Raw genomic sequence first — 17,819 nt, forward strand, 5'->3', positions numbered from 1 at the left:
CTGCCTTTCTAACAAACTCCCAGGTGATATAGAGACTGCTGCTCTGAGGACCAGGCTTTGAGTAGCAAGGGGATGAGTTTTCAACTTTGGCTGCGCAATAAGATCACTCTGAGAGGCTGATTGCTGGTTGCTGGTTTTTAAGACTAACATTCAGGTATCCAGAGACTGGTCTGGAGTGGGGCTTCATATTCCTTAAGAACTTCCTTGGTTATTTATGATTATGCAACCAGGATTGAGAAAACAAATCCAAATGAATGTTTTTCAAACTGTGAGTAGCAATCATTAGTGGATCAGAATCAGAAATAACATTTAAAATATTATTTAAATGAAACAGAATGGAGCAGAACACAGCAGAGCACATTAGAATAGTGTAAGTATTGTTTCGTGAAACTTTTTAGCTATGTACCTATGCGACTATACAGCTCTCAATGTATATTACTAAGAATTAGAGTCAAAAAACTTTGAAAGTCTGTTGCAACTACTTAACTCTGTCATTGTAGTACAAAATTAGGCATGGACAACATGTAAATGAATGGACATGGCTGTGTGAAATTTGCATTTCATATAATTTTTACATGTCACAAAGTATTTTGTATTGATTGCTTTTCAACAGTTTAAAAATGTAAAACCATTCTTAGCTCGTGGGCTCTACAGCAAAAGAGCAAATTGGCCAGCTTGGCACTTGGGGCTTGTATAGGTTGTTGGCCTCTTACCTAGATTGAGATATATTCTTTGTTTGGACCCTAAACTTGATTTGATCAGTTCAGTTATAACAAATTGCCTCAGGCTTGGTCCCAAATTAGTCTCCTATTCTGATTCTACTGCATCCTTTGTATTTTGATTAAAAACACCTGTATTTAGAGGCCAGGCCTTTTGTGGTTGTTAGTAATAACAACAATTGTTGCTGTTAAAACAAGACAGTATGATACTTTGGGCTTTAAAAATCCATGTCAAAATCCTGTATTAAATATGCAAAGTAGTTTTGGCTAAGAATAACTGAGTAACTGGATAAAATATGTGTCTTCCCACCACTTTACGTAGCAGCATTTCACTTTGATAATAAAATCTCAACACTTCCATTAATAAATTGGCAGTTTATCCTAAAGAATAGATGTTTTAAAAGGTGTGCTTTGCAAATGAACAATTGAGGACATATAATGATCAAATGCAAGTAAGTTCCTTACAGGAAAATATGATTCTTTTTTACTATTGAACAGAAAACTAAACAATTTCAATGAAAGCCATGGTTTCATTGAGATTTCAAAAGGGAAACATGCTTCCCTTTTCTCAGTTACTGGGCATATTATACATTTTGTAGTAACTTGTTGGAGCATTCTATTTTAAGATTTTCAAGGTACCAGAGTTAAAAGCTTAGATCTTGGGTAACTTTTTGGGGTGGCAGACAGTGTCCCACTCATTTTTGGCTATAATTGTAAGTATTTATTGCATTTCCACTGTGTACTTGGTTGTTGGCTTACCCCTTGAAGATATGGCAGTTAAAAATGCAAACTTCCCCTGTAATCCCAGCACTTTGAGAGGCTGAGGCAGGAGGATTGCTTGAGGGAAGGAGCTTGAGACCAGCCTGGGCAAAATATTGAGACCACCCCCGCCAACCCGCCATCTCTACAAGAAACAAAGCTAACAACAAGAACAACAAAAATTAGCCAGGTGTGGTGGTGCATGCCTGTATACCTGTAGTCCCAGCTACTTGGTAGGCAGAGGCAGAAGGATCACTTGAGCCCAGGAGTCGGAGGTTACACTGAGCTATGATGGCACCACTGCACTTCAGTCAGAGACAAAGCAAGACCCTGTCTCAAAAACAAACAAAAAAACAAACAAACAAACAAACAAACCATGGCTTGTGAGCACACAGAGCTTAAAAGATTGTAAGCAGATGATGGCAGAGGCCACTCTTAGGCAGTTACAGATAAATCTGTAATTACCAACTATAATAAAACCAAATGTAAATGCTATGAAGAGTGTGTTAGACGCGACTCAGTTTTTAACTAGGTGTTTCATGGGAAGCATCTTTGAGGCGTAACATTTTAGCTTTTATACAGCTTTTTGTAAAAAATATAACTTTTATATAGGGTAGGTACATGAACAGATTTCCATTTTAATCTCTGAGAAGGTCAAAATTCATGTTTGGTCATCTTCAAGTACCAACAGAGTACGGGCATGTGGTAGAACTCAATAAGCTTTCACTCTTGCTGTTAAATACTCAGAATTACTTTGGCTATTGTTTCAAAAACAGATAAGGAGGGGTGTGTAAAAAACGAAAGTGGAAAGACCTGTTGAAAGATGTTGCAAGAAACGGTGGTATTTTGGACAAGAGTGCCATTGGTAGAGATGGGGCAAAGAAGAGAGTCATGATGTATTTTAGAGATAGAATTAGCATTTTGTTATTATAGGGAGATGAGGAAGGGGGAAATTAAAAGTCATTCCCAGACTGTGTGAAGAGAAACATGAAAAAAGACTCAGGTTTCATGAGATGGATTAACCAGTTTTGAAAACTTTGCATTTGAGATGTTTATGAAGTAATCAGTTGGGGACAACCAAGTAGTCAGTGGAATATACAGACCTGGAAATCAGAGAGAGGACTAGGATAGAAGTACAAATGCCGGAGTCGCTGGGCTGTATATAGTATTTTCTTTATTTTTTGTAAAGAGTGCTAATTCAGTACCTACTATGTATCAGGCACTGTTCTAGCTATTAGGAATATATAGAGAAAGAAAAAACAACAAAGTTTCATATGAAGTCTTTTGAAGATAGAGTAGTCACGTTGACCAGAACATATAGTTAGAGACAATTGGGGAAAAAGGAACATTTTAAGAAGTTGACAGGCTGGGCATGGTGGCTCACATCTGTAATCCCAGTGCTTTGGGAGGCCAAGGCAGGAGGATCACTTGAGGCCAGGAGTTTAAGACCAGCTTGGGTACATGGTGAGACTCCATCTACACCAAAAAGAAAAAAAATTAAGCAACCATGGGGGTGCAGCACCTGTAGTCCCAGCTACTCAGGAGGCTGATAACAGAGGATTACATGAGCCCAGGAGGTGGAGGTTGCAGTGAGCCATATTCATGCCACTACACTCCAGCCTGAGCAACAGGGCTAGACCCTGCCCCAATCAATCAATCAATCAATCAATATCTGAAAAAGTGTGCTCCAGATAAAGGGGACAGCAACTGCAGAGGCCCTCAAGGTGAAGTGCATTTGATGTGCCTAAGGAATTCCTAGAGACCGGTATGTTAGCAGTGAAGTAAGCAAAGGAGAAACTAGAAGAAAGAAGGGTCTGAATCATGCAGACCCTTGTAGTCCATGGTATATTTTTCTAGATGTGATGGCAGTTACTGGAGGATTTGAACAAGGAAGTGATGTAATCTAGCTTATGTATCTTTAAAATTCTATCTCCACTGAGAGTAGATTGTACGGGCCTAGTGAGGAGCAGCGAGATCCACTAAGAAGTTCCTCAAGCGCTCCTATTCATAAATTATGTTAGGGCTATGCGCTGAGTTATGCTCCCAACATTCATATGTTGAAGGCCTCACTCCCCTCATCTAATGATATTTGCACATGGGCCCTTTGGAAGATAATTAGGTTTCAATGAGGTGTTCAGAGTAAGGCCTCATGATGAGATTAGTGCCCTTAGAAACAGAGACATCAGAGAGTGAGCTCTCTTTCTCTCTCCCCGCTATCCCTCTTGTGAGGACACAGCAAGAGGACAGCCATCTGCAAGACAAGTAGAACGTCCTCACCAGAACTTGACTATGTTGGCACCCTGATCTAAGACTTCCAGCCTCCAAAACTGAGAACAAATAAATTTCTATTGTTTATGCCACTCAGTGATAGTTTTTGGTGGCAGCCTGAGCGGACTAATGCAATTAGAAAGAAAAAAATTCTCTGGAGGGTGGTAGAGAGCAGAAATACCCACTTACTGTGTTAGCTCGTCTAGCATTATGCAGAGTTCCAATTCCCAATGTGAGTTGGCTTGGCTTGAAAAAAAATTACTATGAATTTGAATAAGATTCAGTTCCTGAACAGTACAGACAAAAGAACAGCTCTAAGCTCTGGCAGCTTGCTTTCCTCCTGTCAGTTTCTCTGTCTTATTCATTTATGGTCTCTGAAAAAGGCCGAGGAAAAATGTAAAGAGAGCAGTTCCACAGGTTGTAGGATTAGTCAATTCTCCAAGGAGACTCAAACTCCATCTGCCGCTGTTTATTAGATCACTCTGTGCCATAAAAACCTATTGATGAGTGGTAGCCAATGATATGCCATTACAACAATAGAGATAATGCAATAGCCATGTCATAAAATGGTTACCCCTCATCACAGCTATGTTTCAATTGTTCCTCAATGCACTGAGCGCATTAAAGGGCTGTATTCCGCCCGCCAAACAATTCTGGTGCAGGAGCTCCTTGGAGGCACCTGCTGTGAGTGAAAGGTAATATTGTGACGATTATTACTGCTTGGAGAGCGATTGCACAGACACGTGCCAACTGCCTGTGCCAGTGCTGGACTATGTAACAGAGTGGATCTAAATTAAACTGAAAATGAAATCAGTTAACTTTAAATTGTTTAAGTTTTCCAACCAAGCAAAATTGCAAGTAGGGTGACTTACCCTGTTTAATTTTGTGACTATACTTTTGGGGACCAGCAGGAATGCGGCTGCATTGGGGCATATAGTGTCCACTTTTTCTTCTGAGGAGTGAAAAAGCCTGGAAAAAAAATATTCCATTTGTTTTCTGGATGCTTGTACCCATCCAGTCTTATTTCTCAATCCAGATCACCGAAGAAAGGCATCTTCCCCCCACCATATTAAGTGAATTACACTGATTTCAAATAACTTTCCCAGCTGAGTCAAACCTGCAGCCCAGACTCACTGGCCAACTGATCCTAGCGCTGGGATAGCTCAGAAGCCAACAAGTAGCCCCCAGATCTCGGATTCTACCCCAACCTTTGTAGTCCTGGCACGATGTCCATACAACCTGAAGGAGTCCTAAAATCCAGAGCCCCAGAACCCCAAATGGGATCGCTACAGTCCTAAATCTGTGATTCTACCCTCATGCCACTCTGTTTCTATTCTCTCCAATACCATCTGCTAGGGAACCCACTGAGAGGGAATGTGCCCTTTTCTAATGCTGCTCGGTTCTAAAGGAGCTACAGTGAGAAAGTTGCTGAGGTTTTCCCAAATACTAGTTAAAAAAAAAAAAAGAAAAAGATGAGGTTTGGATTAGAGGACAGAATGTCAGAATGTTTGTAACAAATATCCATGTGCCCTTCACATTCCCCAGCCTCCCTGAGGGTGAGATCTGGGCCATGTGACTAGTTCTGCAAATAGGATACGGACAGAAGGAGCAGAGACACTTCCAGATCTGGCCTCTCAAGACACCCCATCCTCCAAACCTTCCCCTGCCTTCCCACCTGGAGACAACTGGCCCAACTGTGTAACTACAAAATGGTGGAAGCTGTCAGATCTGTATCAGACCAGAATTTGAGGAAGAAATATAGATATCTTTGTTGTATGAAACCACCGAGACTTCAGGAGTCTGTGTTTTGTTGCTGCCTGCACTGATAATCCTGAATATAGACTGTCTTCTGGCTACATCACTGAATTCGTATTCAGGTACTGTATCTTGCAGTTTGGCCAATCTGGTCCATGATTTTGAAGTCCTGGAAGCAACCATCTTTACTATATCCAAGAAGTAGTATTCTCAAAGTTGGTATTAATGGGAGAGAAAACTCCATTAAATGCTTAGTTAAATGCATTATGCATTACTGACTATATGTCCAAAGCAGTGAGCTGAAAATTGGGGTAAACACCAGAAAAGTACAAATCATATTCAAGGAAGTGACCTGAGAGGCAAGGAGCATTTCCAGATAAAGCAGTTAAATAACAATGGTTCTCATAAAGAAATGCAGAATATGGGAAGACCAGTGTGGGTTGGATGTACCTAATGATTCTTCAGGTGTAGAGGGCCTTGGAGGTCAGGTGTCATGGGCTGAATTGTGCTCTCCTCCCCCAAATTCATCTGTTGAAGCCCTAACCTTTGGCATCTCAGACTGTGACTGAATTTGGAGATAGGGAATTTAAAGGGGTAGTTAGTTAAAATGAGGTCATTAGGGTGAGCTCTAATTGATATGACTAGCGTCCTAATAAAAAGAGGAAATTAGGACATAAACACACACAATGGAAAATCATTCAAAAACACAGGGAGAAGATGGCCACCAACAAGCTAAAGAGGCTGGGCCTGGTGGCTCACGCCTGTAATCCCAGCACTTTGGGAGGCTGAGGTGGGCGGACCGCTTGAGCCCAGGAGTTCAAGACCAGACTGGTCAACTGGCAAAACCTGATCTCTACCAAAAATACAAAACAAAATTAGCTGGCCATGGTGGCTTGTGCCTGTTGTCCTAGCTACTCAGGAGGCTGAGGAGGAAGGATTGCTTGAGGCCAAGAGGCAAAGATTGCAGTAAGCAGAGATCACATCACTGCACTCCAGCATGGGCAACAGAGTAAGACCCTGTTTCAAAAAAAAAGAAAGAAAGAAAAAGAAACCTACCCTGCTGATACCTCAATCTCAAACTTTTAGTATTCAGAACTGTGAGAAAATAAATTCCTGTTGTTTACGACCCCCCAGCCTGTGATACTCTGCTGTGTGGTAGCACTCGCAAACTCACGCAGGCACAAGTTTCTCCAGAGAAAGAATGGGACAGTAGTTTACGCAGTATTATTTCACTGAACTAAAGCACAGTGGGGAGAATAAACATCATAAATTTGGAAGAAAGTAGGGAGAATATCTTCCCTGAAGATATTGAGAATTATAATTGGAAGGATAACTTGGAGTAATATTTGTGAGGGTCTTTATTCCCTGATTGAGAAATTTTGATATTATTCTACAAGTGATTTGAAGACTGCAGTACATAACAGTTTAAGAATATGACTTCAAAATCTCCAGGGTGGCGTCCAAACATTAGTATTTTTAACAAGCTTCCAGGTGATTCTGAGAGACCATCAGTAAATTTGAGAACCATGGGTATAAGCAGTTGGGAATTCCTAAAAGGATTGCATAGGCATTTTGCTGTATGGGTGATAGATAAAGAGGCAGGGGGCATGCAGATATTCCACAGCAGAGCACTCCTTTACCTCTGATCTAGTCCTACCCAGAATAATGGAAGCCTGTAACTAATGGGACTCAAAATATTAAATCCAGTGCCTCCTGGCATGTAAAAGTTCACCTCCACTTAGTTAACATTCATTCTTATTTCAAATAGCAAGCTTGTTTTTCTTTCTAAATTGTTTTATTGTTTTTAAATGTATATACAAAAAGTACCCCAAAATAAATAAATAATACTTGAATTATCACTATCTTGTCATAAGCATTTTGTTGAACATTCCTTCTGTGATCTATCTGTGCATCTACTCGTATTGTATAAGCATACAGTTCACATAAATGTTACGATGCTAATTGTGCTCTCTTAATCTATAATCCACTTCTCCACTCAAAAGTAGATTGCAAAAATACCTCCAAATCTTTATTTTATATCTTCATCAAAATATTCCATTGTTTAGATGTTTTCTAATTATTTAGCCAGACCTCAACTAATAAACACATAAATCACTCTGCATTTTTGACCCTTAAAAACAACACTGACTTGGGGTCACAGGGGAGAAGAGTGATAGCTAACATGTACAGGGTTTCTTTTTGAGGTGGTGAAATGTTCTAAAACTGACTATGGTGATGGTTGCACATATCTGTGAAAATACTACAAACCACTGAATTATATACTTGATATGGGTAAACTGTATGGCATGTGAATTATATCTCAATAAAGCTGTTTATAAAAAAGACATCCCTTGCCCTCTCTCACCACTCCAATTCAACATAGTATTGGAAGTTCTGGACAGACCAATCAGGCAAGAGAAAGAAATAAATGGTATTCAAATAAAAAGAAAGGAAGTCAAATTATCTTTATTTGCAGATGACATGATCCTATATATAGAAAACCCCATTGTCTCATCCCAAATGCTTCTTAAGCTGTAAGCAACTTCAGCCAATCCCCAGGATTCAAAATCAATGTGCAAAAAACTACTAGCACTCCTATACACCAACAGGCAAGCAGAGAGCCAAATCATGAATTAACTGCTATTCACAATTGCTACAAAAAGAATAAAATACCTAGGAATACAGCTAACAGGAGAAGTGAAGGACCTCTTCAAGGAGAACTATAAACCACTCCTCAAAGAAATCAGAGAGGACACCAACAAATGGAAAAACATCCCATACTTATGGACAGGAAGAATCAATATCATGAAAATGGCCATACTGCCCAAAGTAATTTATAGATTCAATGCTATTCCCATTAAAGTACCATTGACATTCTTCACAGAATTGGAAAAAACTACTTTAAAATTCATATGGAATGGAAAGAGAGCCCAAATATCCAAGACAATCCGAAGCAAAAAGAACAAAGCTGAAAGCATCATGCTACCTGACTTCAAACTACACTACAAGGCTACAGTAATCAAAACTTCATGGTATTGGTACAAGAACAGACACATAGACCAATGGAACAGAATAGAGAACTCAGAAATAAGACCACATACCTACAACCATCTGATCTTCAACAAACCTGACAAAAACAAGCAATGGGGAAAGGATTCCCTGTTTAATAAATGGTGCTGGGAGAACTGGCTGCCATATGTAGAAAACTGAAACTGGACCCGTTCCTTACACCTTATACAAAAATTTACTCAAAGTGAATTAAAGTTTTAAAAGTAAAACCGAAAACTATAAAAACCCTAGAAGAAAATCTAAGCAATACTATTCAGGACATAGGCATGGGCAAAGGTTTCATTATGAAGATGCCAAAAGCAATTGCAATGAAAGCCAAAATTGAGAAATGATATCTAATTAAATTAAAGAGCTCCTGCAAAGCAAAAGAAACTGTCATGAGAGTGAACAGACAACCTACAGAATGCGAGAAAATTTTTGCAATCTACCCATCTGACAAAGGTCTAATATCCAGAGTCTACAGGGAACTTAAACAAATTTACAAAAACAAAATACAAACAACCCCATTAAAAAGTGGGCAAAGGACATGAATGGACACTTCTCAAAAGAAGACATACATGTGGCCACAAACTTATGAAAAAAGCTGAACATCACTGATCATTAGAGAAATGCAAATCAAAACCACAATGGGATACCGTCTCACATCAGTCAGAATGGCTATTACTAAAAAGTCAAAAAACTGGCTGTGCGCAGTGGCTCACGACTGTAATCCCAGCACTTTGGGAGGCCAAGGTGGGTAGATCACCTAAGGTGAAGAGTTCGAGATCAGCCTGGCCAACGTAGTGAAACCCTGTCTCTACTAATAATACAAAAATTAGCTGGGCGTGGTGGCCAATGCCTGTAATCCCAGCTATTCAGGAGGCTGAGGCAGGAGAATCACTTGAACCCACGGGCAGAGGGTGCAGTGATCTAAGATCGCGCCATTGCACTCCAGCGTGCAATGGGCGACAAGAGTGATACTGCATCTCAAAAAAAAAAAAAGTCAAAAAACAACAGATGCTGGCAAGGTTACAGAGAAAACACTTTTACACTGTTGATGAGAGTGTAAATTTAACCACTGTGGAAGACAGTGTGGTGATTCCTCAAAGTTCTAGAGGCAGAAATACCATTTAACACAGCAATACCATTGAATTGCTAATGGATGCTGGGCTTAATACCGAGGTGATGGGATGATCTGTGCAGCAAACTACCATGGCACACATTTACCTATGAAACAAACCTCCACATTCTGCACATGTATCCCTGAGCTTAAAATAAAAGGTGAAGATTTAAAAAAAAAGACATCCTCACAACTACATCTATTCACCCTCTGCAGTTATTATCCTAATGGCAAATTCTGAAATATGTACCCATTAAGATGATTAATAATAATTATTAATGGATTAATAATTATTAATCGATTAATAATTAGTTATTAATGGATTAATTAATACTCCAGGCAATTTCATTTTACAGATGAATACATGCTTTTAAAAAAATACACCTGAGGCCAGGCACAGTGGCTTATGATTATAATCCCAACATGGGAGGACAAGGTGGGAGAATCACTTGAGCCCAGGAGTTCAATACCAGCCTGGGCAACATAGGGAAAGCCTGTCTCTACAAAACAATTTTAAAAAATTAGCCAGGTGTGGTGACGTGCACCTGCTTTGGAGGCCAAGGTAGTAGGATGGCTTGAGCCCAGAAGTTTGAGACTAGCCTGGGCAACATAATGGGACCCTATCTCTACAAAAACTAAAAATATTAGCCAGGCATGGTGGTGCACCTGTGATTCTGCTACTCAGGAGGCTGAGGTGGGAGGATCACCTGAACTTGGGATGTCAAGGCTGCAGTGAGCTATGATCATGCCACTGCACTCCAGCCTGGGTGACAGAGTAAGACCCTGCTCTGGAAAAAAAAAAATTATACACCCGAAATACACTAATATGAGAATATGTATTTCCCCTCATAATTACCAACACTAGGTTTTGATGACCTTTTTTTCATCTTGAAAATCTAAGTTGTAAAAGAAAATGTTTTGTTATTTTAAAAATTTGATTCGTATCTTTCCTTGTATTGGTTATCTATATTTCTTCTTTGTGTATTACCTACTTATTTATTTACTTTGCCTATTTTCTTTAAAAAAATTTACAATTGCTTTCTAAGATTCCTTTGAATTTTAGAGAAATTTTCCCATGTCTTTGAACCAATAAGGATGTGATATTTTTCAGGAATATCTCTGTAAAACTAATACAGTTGACCCTTGAACAACAGACTTGTAATGCATGGATCCACTTATACACGGATTTTCTTCAGTCTCTGCCACCCCTGAAACAGCAAGACTAAGCTCTCCTATTCCTCCTCCTCCTCAACCTACCCAATGTGAAGACAACAAGGATGAAGACCTTTATGATGCTCCACTTCCACTTAATGAACACTAAGTGTATTTTCTTGTTCTTATGATTTTCTTAATAACATTTTCTTTTCTCTAGCTTATTTTATTGTAATAATACAGAATATAATACATACATGTACGAAATGTGTGTTAATCAATTGTTCATTTATTGGTAAGGCTGCTGTTCAACAATAGGCTATTAGTAAAGTTTGTGGTTTGTGGGGAGTCAAAAGTTATACCTTGGTTTTTTTGACTGTATAGGTGGTCAGTGGCCCTAACCCCCATCTTATTCAAGGGTCAACTGCAGTTACAAAAAGTAGCAATGTTTCATCAAATCTAAAAACTTTCATGATTTTTAAAATGCACTCATATTTTTATAGTACAAAAAGAAAAAAACTGCTAAGATATAAAAATTGCTAAAAATTAAGCTCAAAGTAAGTAGAACTAAGGAAATAAGGAGTAAAAATCAATAAAATAAAAAATCTTAAAAATCAACAAACTCAAAAGTTATTTCCTTGAAGAAAAAAATGTGTAAACTTGATTAACTCCCAATAAAACTGATCAAAAAAAGAAAACAGGATAGGAAGAAGGGGGAAATTAAACTACTAATATCAGAAACAAAACAGAATATCACTACAGAGCTATAAAAATTAAAATGATAATAGGAAGGCATCATGAATAATTTTATGCCAATAAGTTAAAGAATCTATATGAAGTTAACAAATTGTTTGAAAAACACAGTGTATCAAAATTGACTCAAGGAGAAATAGAAAATTTGAATAACTTTACCTCTGTTGAAGGAATTGCATTTGTAATGAAACATTCCTAAAATCAAAATATCATCTTCATATGGCTGTACTGGTGAATCACATCAAATATCTAAGGAAGAAATAATACCAATCTTGAATCACCTCTTTCAGAAAATAGAGGGAGAGTTTAAGCATACAAGAAAGCAAATATGATGGATAGGACTTCATCAAAATTAAATATCTCTGTGTGCTCATTAAGAGATATCATTAAATAGATGAAAAGACAAGTCACAGATTTGGAAAAAAAATCTGCTATATGATGGCACAGGACTTGTATTTAGAATATTTAAAGAACTACAAATCAATAATAAAAAGACAATAACCCAATTTCAAGTGAGCAAATGATTTCAACACTTCACACACACAAAAAACCATAACTACTAAGTTCAATATGGATAATACTCAATTCAGCAAAGATAAAAAGCAACAGGAACTCTTCAACATTGTTGGTGAGAGAGTGAATGGCACAATCACTTTGGAAAACTCTTTGGCACTTTCTTGTAAATTAAATATACACCTAATTCATTACCCAGCAATTTCACTCCTAGGCAGTTACTCAAGATAAATGAAAGCATGCATCCATAGACATACTTGTAAAAGAATATGCGTGGTGGCCAGGAGCAGTGGCTCATGCCTGCAATCCCAGAATTTTGGGAGGCCGAGGCGGGTGGATCACCTGAGGTCAGGAATTCAAGACCAGTCTGGCCAACAAGGTGAAACCCTGTCTCTACAAAAAATACAAAAAATTAGCCAGGTGTGGTGGTGGGCGCCTGTAGTCCCAGCTACTCAGGAGGCTGAGGCAGGAGAATGGTGTGAACCCAGGAGGTGGAGCTTGCAGTGAGCCAAGATTGCGCCACTGCACTCCAGCCTGGGCGACAGAGCTAGACTCTGTCTTAAAAAAAAAAAAAAAAGAATATGCGTGGCAACTTCATTAATAGTAGCTAAAAAGTAGAAACAGCCTAACAGGCTATTAACAGTAGAGTGGTAGAGTAGATAAATAAATCATGGTATAACCATACAGTGGAATAGTATCCAGCAATAAAAAGAATAAACTAGTGATGCACACAAGATGGAAGAATCTCAAAAATATGTTGAATGAAATAATCCAGACACAAAAGTAAACACTGCGTAATTCCATTTAAGTGACGTACAAAACTAGACAAAGTAATCTATGCTGATAGAAAGCCTAACCATGATGGCTTCTGTGTAGGCGGCCCGTGTGTGGGTGCCAGGCAGGAGAGACTTTCTAAGGTGATGAAAATAGTTTGTCTCTAATATCTGTTTCTGTATCTTGATTAAGGTGTGAGTTACATGAAAATATTCGTTTATCAAAGTTCATTGAACTATCATATGTAAATTATGCCTTAATTTTAAAAATATGATACTCCAATGATTTCAAAGCATCTTGATTTTAGGGACATTAAAGTGTTTCAAATGTACAAAATGTACAAATCTTTGAAATATAGGATACATTGTAACTTTTAAAGTAAAGGTATATTCACAGTAGGCAAAAGGTGGAAGCAACTCAAGTGTTCATGGCCTGGTGAACGAATAAACAAAATGTGGTCTATACATATCATGGCATACTATTCAACCTTAAAAAGTATGGAAATTCTGACTTATGCAACAACATGGATGAACTTTGAAGATGCACCAAGTGAAATAAGTCAATCACAAAAGGACAATTACTATGATTTCGCTTATATGAGAAACCTAGAATAGTGAAATTCATGGAAACAGAAAACAATAACGGTGGTTGTTGGGGCCAGAGGGAGGGGAAAATGGGGAGTTACTGTTTAATGGTTATGGAGTTTCAGTTGGGAAAGATGAAAAAGTTCTGGAGATGAAGGATGGTGATGGTTGTACAAAGATGTGAATGTACGTGGACTGAATGTCACAGAACTGTACATTTAGAAGGATTGAAATGGTTTTACATTATATACATTTTACTACAGTTTAAAAAAAGAAAAATTAAAACTAGTCCAGACAATAAATATTTCGTATTTCAAATTCGGTCCAAGTGAGTAATCAAAAGCATAGCTCCAAACCAAACAAAGGCAAACAAAAACAGTAAATAGCTAAGTGATTCGAAAGAAGCTATTTCTGTTTGGATCAATTTATGCTGGGCACAAACACTTTCAAAGCTGATAAACAGGGCTCACTGTCTTCCCATTTGGCTTTCAGGCCTCAGAGTGGCTTACAGTTCTTCTAAAAATCAAGAGCCTATCATCCCACCACACAGCCTTACTTCACAATGCAACTTCTCAAAGATAAAAATATACAAACAGCACATGATTTTAATTCACAAAGAGCATAACGTTAACAATAAATCGGAAGAAACACAAACACTGTGTAAGAGACCGCTTTCAAAAAGACAAGTAGACCAGTTCAGGAAGATAAATATAACTATAACATGCCATATGGATTGGAAAAGGTGAATTACACTAATTATTACTCCAATACAAGTCCAGCATTTTCCTCGGAAACTTAAGCAAGATTTTGGAATACATAAAAGTCTGTTTAAAAAAATAAATAAATAAAGTACATCAAAAGTGTAGAAAAGCCCTGTATCAGAAATATGTGTCAGTATGAGCTCATTTTTAATTCAAGAATAGATTGTCCCCAAACATAGAAAACTAAAGAGATCTCCTATAGACTGTTCTAATTTCATGTTATAATAATCATTAGAATCATTGTTTAACTGAGGAGTAAATGTAAACTTTTCTAACAGAGCAAATAAAATTGATTGCAAGGTGTTTATTAAGGCTCTATAATATGTATCAAATTGCTTAAGACACAGATGTTGCCTTGCCCTCTGAGAAAATAAAAACACAGACTACAGGCAGTGAAAGAATAAATAGAAATTAAGTAGGTAATAAAGAGGTGAGAGTAGGCATATACATTGTTTAAAGATCAAAAAGTTTAAGTGAACTCTGTGGCAGCCAGTGAATTATAGTTGGGTTTATACTGTGATAAAATAAATAAAACCAGGCTGAAAGTTAAGTGATCACTTATATAAAAAATATTTATATAGGCCAGGTGTGGTAGCTCATGCTTGTAATCCCAGTACTATGGGAGGCCGAGGTGGCCGGATCACTCCTGAGGTCAGGAGTTTGAGACCAGCCTGGCCAACATGATGCAACCCCATCTCTACCAAAAATACAAAATTAGCCAGGCCTGGTGGCATGTACCTGTAATCCCAGCTACTCAGGAGGCTGAGGCAGGAGTATCACTTGAACCCGGGAGGCGGAGGTTGCGGTGAGCCAATATCACACCATTGCACTTCAGCCTGGGCAACAGGAGTGAAACTCCATCTCCAAAAACAAACAAACAAACAAACAAAAAATTGTATAAAAACATAAAAAGCCAATCCACAAAGATGCTTGATTTCTTCAGATCGATGTGTCCTTTTTTTATGTTTATGTTTTAAATACTTAGTGCGGTCAATATTTCATCCTGAAGGACAGAGCTTGTTTGCCCACGTCACACTTTTCTTATAAGGCTCAAATATCAGCAGTCCCCACTGAGAATTTCAAAAGAAGCTTTCTTGAAACTCACTTAACTTTGCTGGTTGATTTTTGTTGTTTACCTAGTGAAGTACAGTCATGTATGGCTTTATGACAGGGATACATTCAGAGAAATGCTTCATTAGGTAATTTCATCATTGTGTGAACATCGTAGAGTGTACTTAGACCTAGATGATACAGCCTATTACACACCAAAGCTGTATGGTGTAATATATTCTGTTGCTCCCAGGCTAGAAACCTGTACATCATGTTACCATGTTGAATACTGTAGGCCAGGGGTCCCTAGTCCCTGGGTTGTGGACCGGTAGAGTTTGCGGTCTGTTAGGAACCAGGCCGCACAGCAGGAGGTGAGTGAGGGACCAGAAAGCATTACCGCCTGAGTTCTGCCTCCTGTCAGATCAGCTGCTGCATTAGATTCTCATAGCAGCACGAATACAGTTGTGAATTGTGCATATGAGGGATCTAGGTTGTGAGCTCCTTAGAAGAATCTAAAGCCCGATGATCTGAGATAGAACAGTTCCATCCTGAAACTGTCCTCCCCATCCCAGCCCTCCCCTGTCGCCCTCATCCATGGTAAAATTGTCTTCCTCAAAAGGGTCCCTGGTGCCGAAAAGGCTGGGGACCACTGCTATAGGCAATCATAACACAATGGTATTTGTGTATCTAAACATATGTAAACATAGAAAATGTATAATGAAACATGGAATAAAAGATTCTTTTTTTTTTAAAGGAACACTTATATAGGGCACTCATCATGAATGGAGCTTGCAGTTCTGGAAGTCGCTCTTGGGTGAGTCATTGAGTGAGTGGTGAGTGAATGTGAAGGCCTAGGACATTACTGTACACTATTGCAGATTATAACCACTGTACACTTATACTACACTAAATTTATTTTAAAAGTTTTTCTTTCTTTAATAATAAGTTAGCTTACTGTAACTTTTTTACTTCATAAACTTTTTAGTTTTTTAAACTTTTTGACTCTTTTGTAATAACATTTAGCTTAAAATGAGAACATTCAGCTTAAATTTAAAAAAAAATTTTTAATTAAAAAATTTTAAATTAAAAAATTGTTTTTATCTTTATATCCTTATCTGTGGCTACTTTCTGGTAATTTCTTTTTTTTTTTTTACTTTTTAAACTTTTTTGTTAAAAACGAAGACGCAAACACACACATTGGTCTAGATGTACACAGAGTCAGGAATACCAATATCACTGTCCTCTACCTCCACATCTTGTCCAGTGAAGACATTGGAATGTCTTCAGGGGCAGTAACACTCATGGACCTGTCATGTCCTGCGATAACAATGTCTTCTTCTGGAATGCAGGCACACTTCAGAGATACTACAGTGCCAATATCAAAATAAAGTGAGTCACACACTTTTTTTGGTTTCCCAGTGCATATGAAAGTTATCTTCACACTATATTGTAGTCTATTAAGTGTGCAATAGCATTATTTCTAAAAAAAAAGTACATACCTTAATTTAAAAATACATTGTTGCTAGAAATGCTAATGATCATCTGAGTCTTCAGAGAATTATAATCTTTTTGCTGAAAGGTCTTGCCTCAATGTTGATTGCCACTCACTGGTCAGGGTGGTGTTTGCTGAAGGTTGAGGTGGCTGTGGCAGTTCCCTAAAATAAGACAATAGGGTTTGCTGTATCAATTGACTCTTCCTTTCACAAAAGAGTTCTCTGTAGCACATAATGCTGTTTGACAGCATTTTACCCACAATAGGACTTCTTTCAAAATTTGACTCAATCCTCTCAAAGCTATTGCTTTATCAACTAAATTTACATAATATCCTTCATTGTGATTTCAACAATGTTCACAGTCAGGAGTAGGTTCCATTTCAAGAAACCCACTTTCTTTGCTCATCAACAAGAAGTAACTTCTCAGGTGTTCAAGTTTTATCGTGAGATTGCAGCAATTCAGTGACATCTTCAGGTATTCTAGTTCTCATCCTGTTTTCATCACATATGCAACTATTTCCTCCACTGAAGTCTTGAACCCCTTGAAGTCATCTATGAGGGTTAGAATCAACTTCTTCCAAACTCCTGTTAATGTTGATATTTTGACCTCTTCTCATGAATCACAAATGCTCTTAACAGCATTGACTTCTCTCTAGCCATGAAAGCCCTAGATGGCACCTTCTTCCAATAGAAAGCTATTTCATCTAAATTGAAAATCTATTGTTGAGTGTAGCCACCTTTATCAATTATCTTAGCTAGATCTTCTGGATAACTTGCTACAGCTTCTCCATCAGCACTTGCTGCTTCACCTTGCACTTTTATGTTCTGGAGATGGCTACTTTCCTTAAACTTCATGAATCAACTTCTGCTAGCTTCACACTTTTCTTTTGCAGCTTCTTCACCTCTCTCAGCTTCACAAATTGAAGAGAGTTAGGTCTTGGCTCTAGATTAGGCTTTGGTTTAAGGGAATACTGTGGTTGGTCTGATCTTCTATCCAGACCACTAAAGCTTTCTTTATATCGGCAACAGGGCTGTTTCATTTTCTTATCATTCATGTTCACTGGAGTAGC

The 17,819-nt window shown here is 38.2% G+C and overlaps 1 long non-coding RNA gene across 1 annotated transcript in view, besides 1 other annotated feature; it reads right to left on the reverse strand.

Annotated features, from left to right (window-relative positions):
* LOC107986432 (uncharacterized) overlaps window positions 1-17,819 on the reverse strand; it is a 113,452-nt gene that overhangs the window by 39,056 nt on the left and 56,577 nt on the right. Inside the window, exons 4-6 of the long non-coding RNA XR_001742795.2 lie at window positions 16,756-16,911; window positions 11,734-11,823; window positions 4,619-4,715 (exon numbers count right to left, since the gene is read on the reverse strand). This is a non-coding gene — a long non-coding RNA (uncharacterized LOC107986432). The remainder of the gene's footprint in view (window positions 1-4,618; window positions 4,716-11,733; window positions 11,824-16,755; window positions 16,912-17,819) is intronic.
* Window positions 10,037-10,249: a silencer, noted in NCBI's record as "fragment chr5:90496731-90496943 (GRCh37/hg19 assembly coordinates)". NCBI's record gives its function as "represses an EF-1alpha promoter that drives an FKBP-Casp9 reporter gene in an ReSE screen in phorbol 12-myristate 13-acetate-treated (for megakaryocytic differentiation) K562 erythroleukemia cells {active_cell/tissue: K562(+PMA)}" and the evidence as "EXISTENCE:reporter gene assay evidence [ECO:0000049][PMID:32094911]".

This window comes from Homo sapiens, chromosome 5 (genome assembly GCF_000001405.40).
Source record: "Homo sapiens chromosome 5, GRCh38.p14 Primary Assembly".
In the NCBI taxonomy this organism is placed as follows: Eukaryota; Metazoa; Chordata; class Mammalia; order Primates; family Hominidae; genus Homo; species Homo sapiens.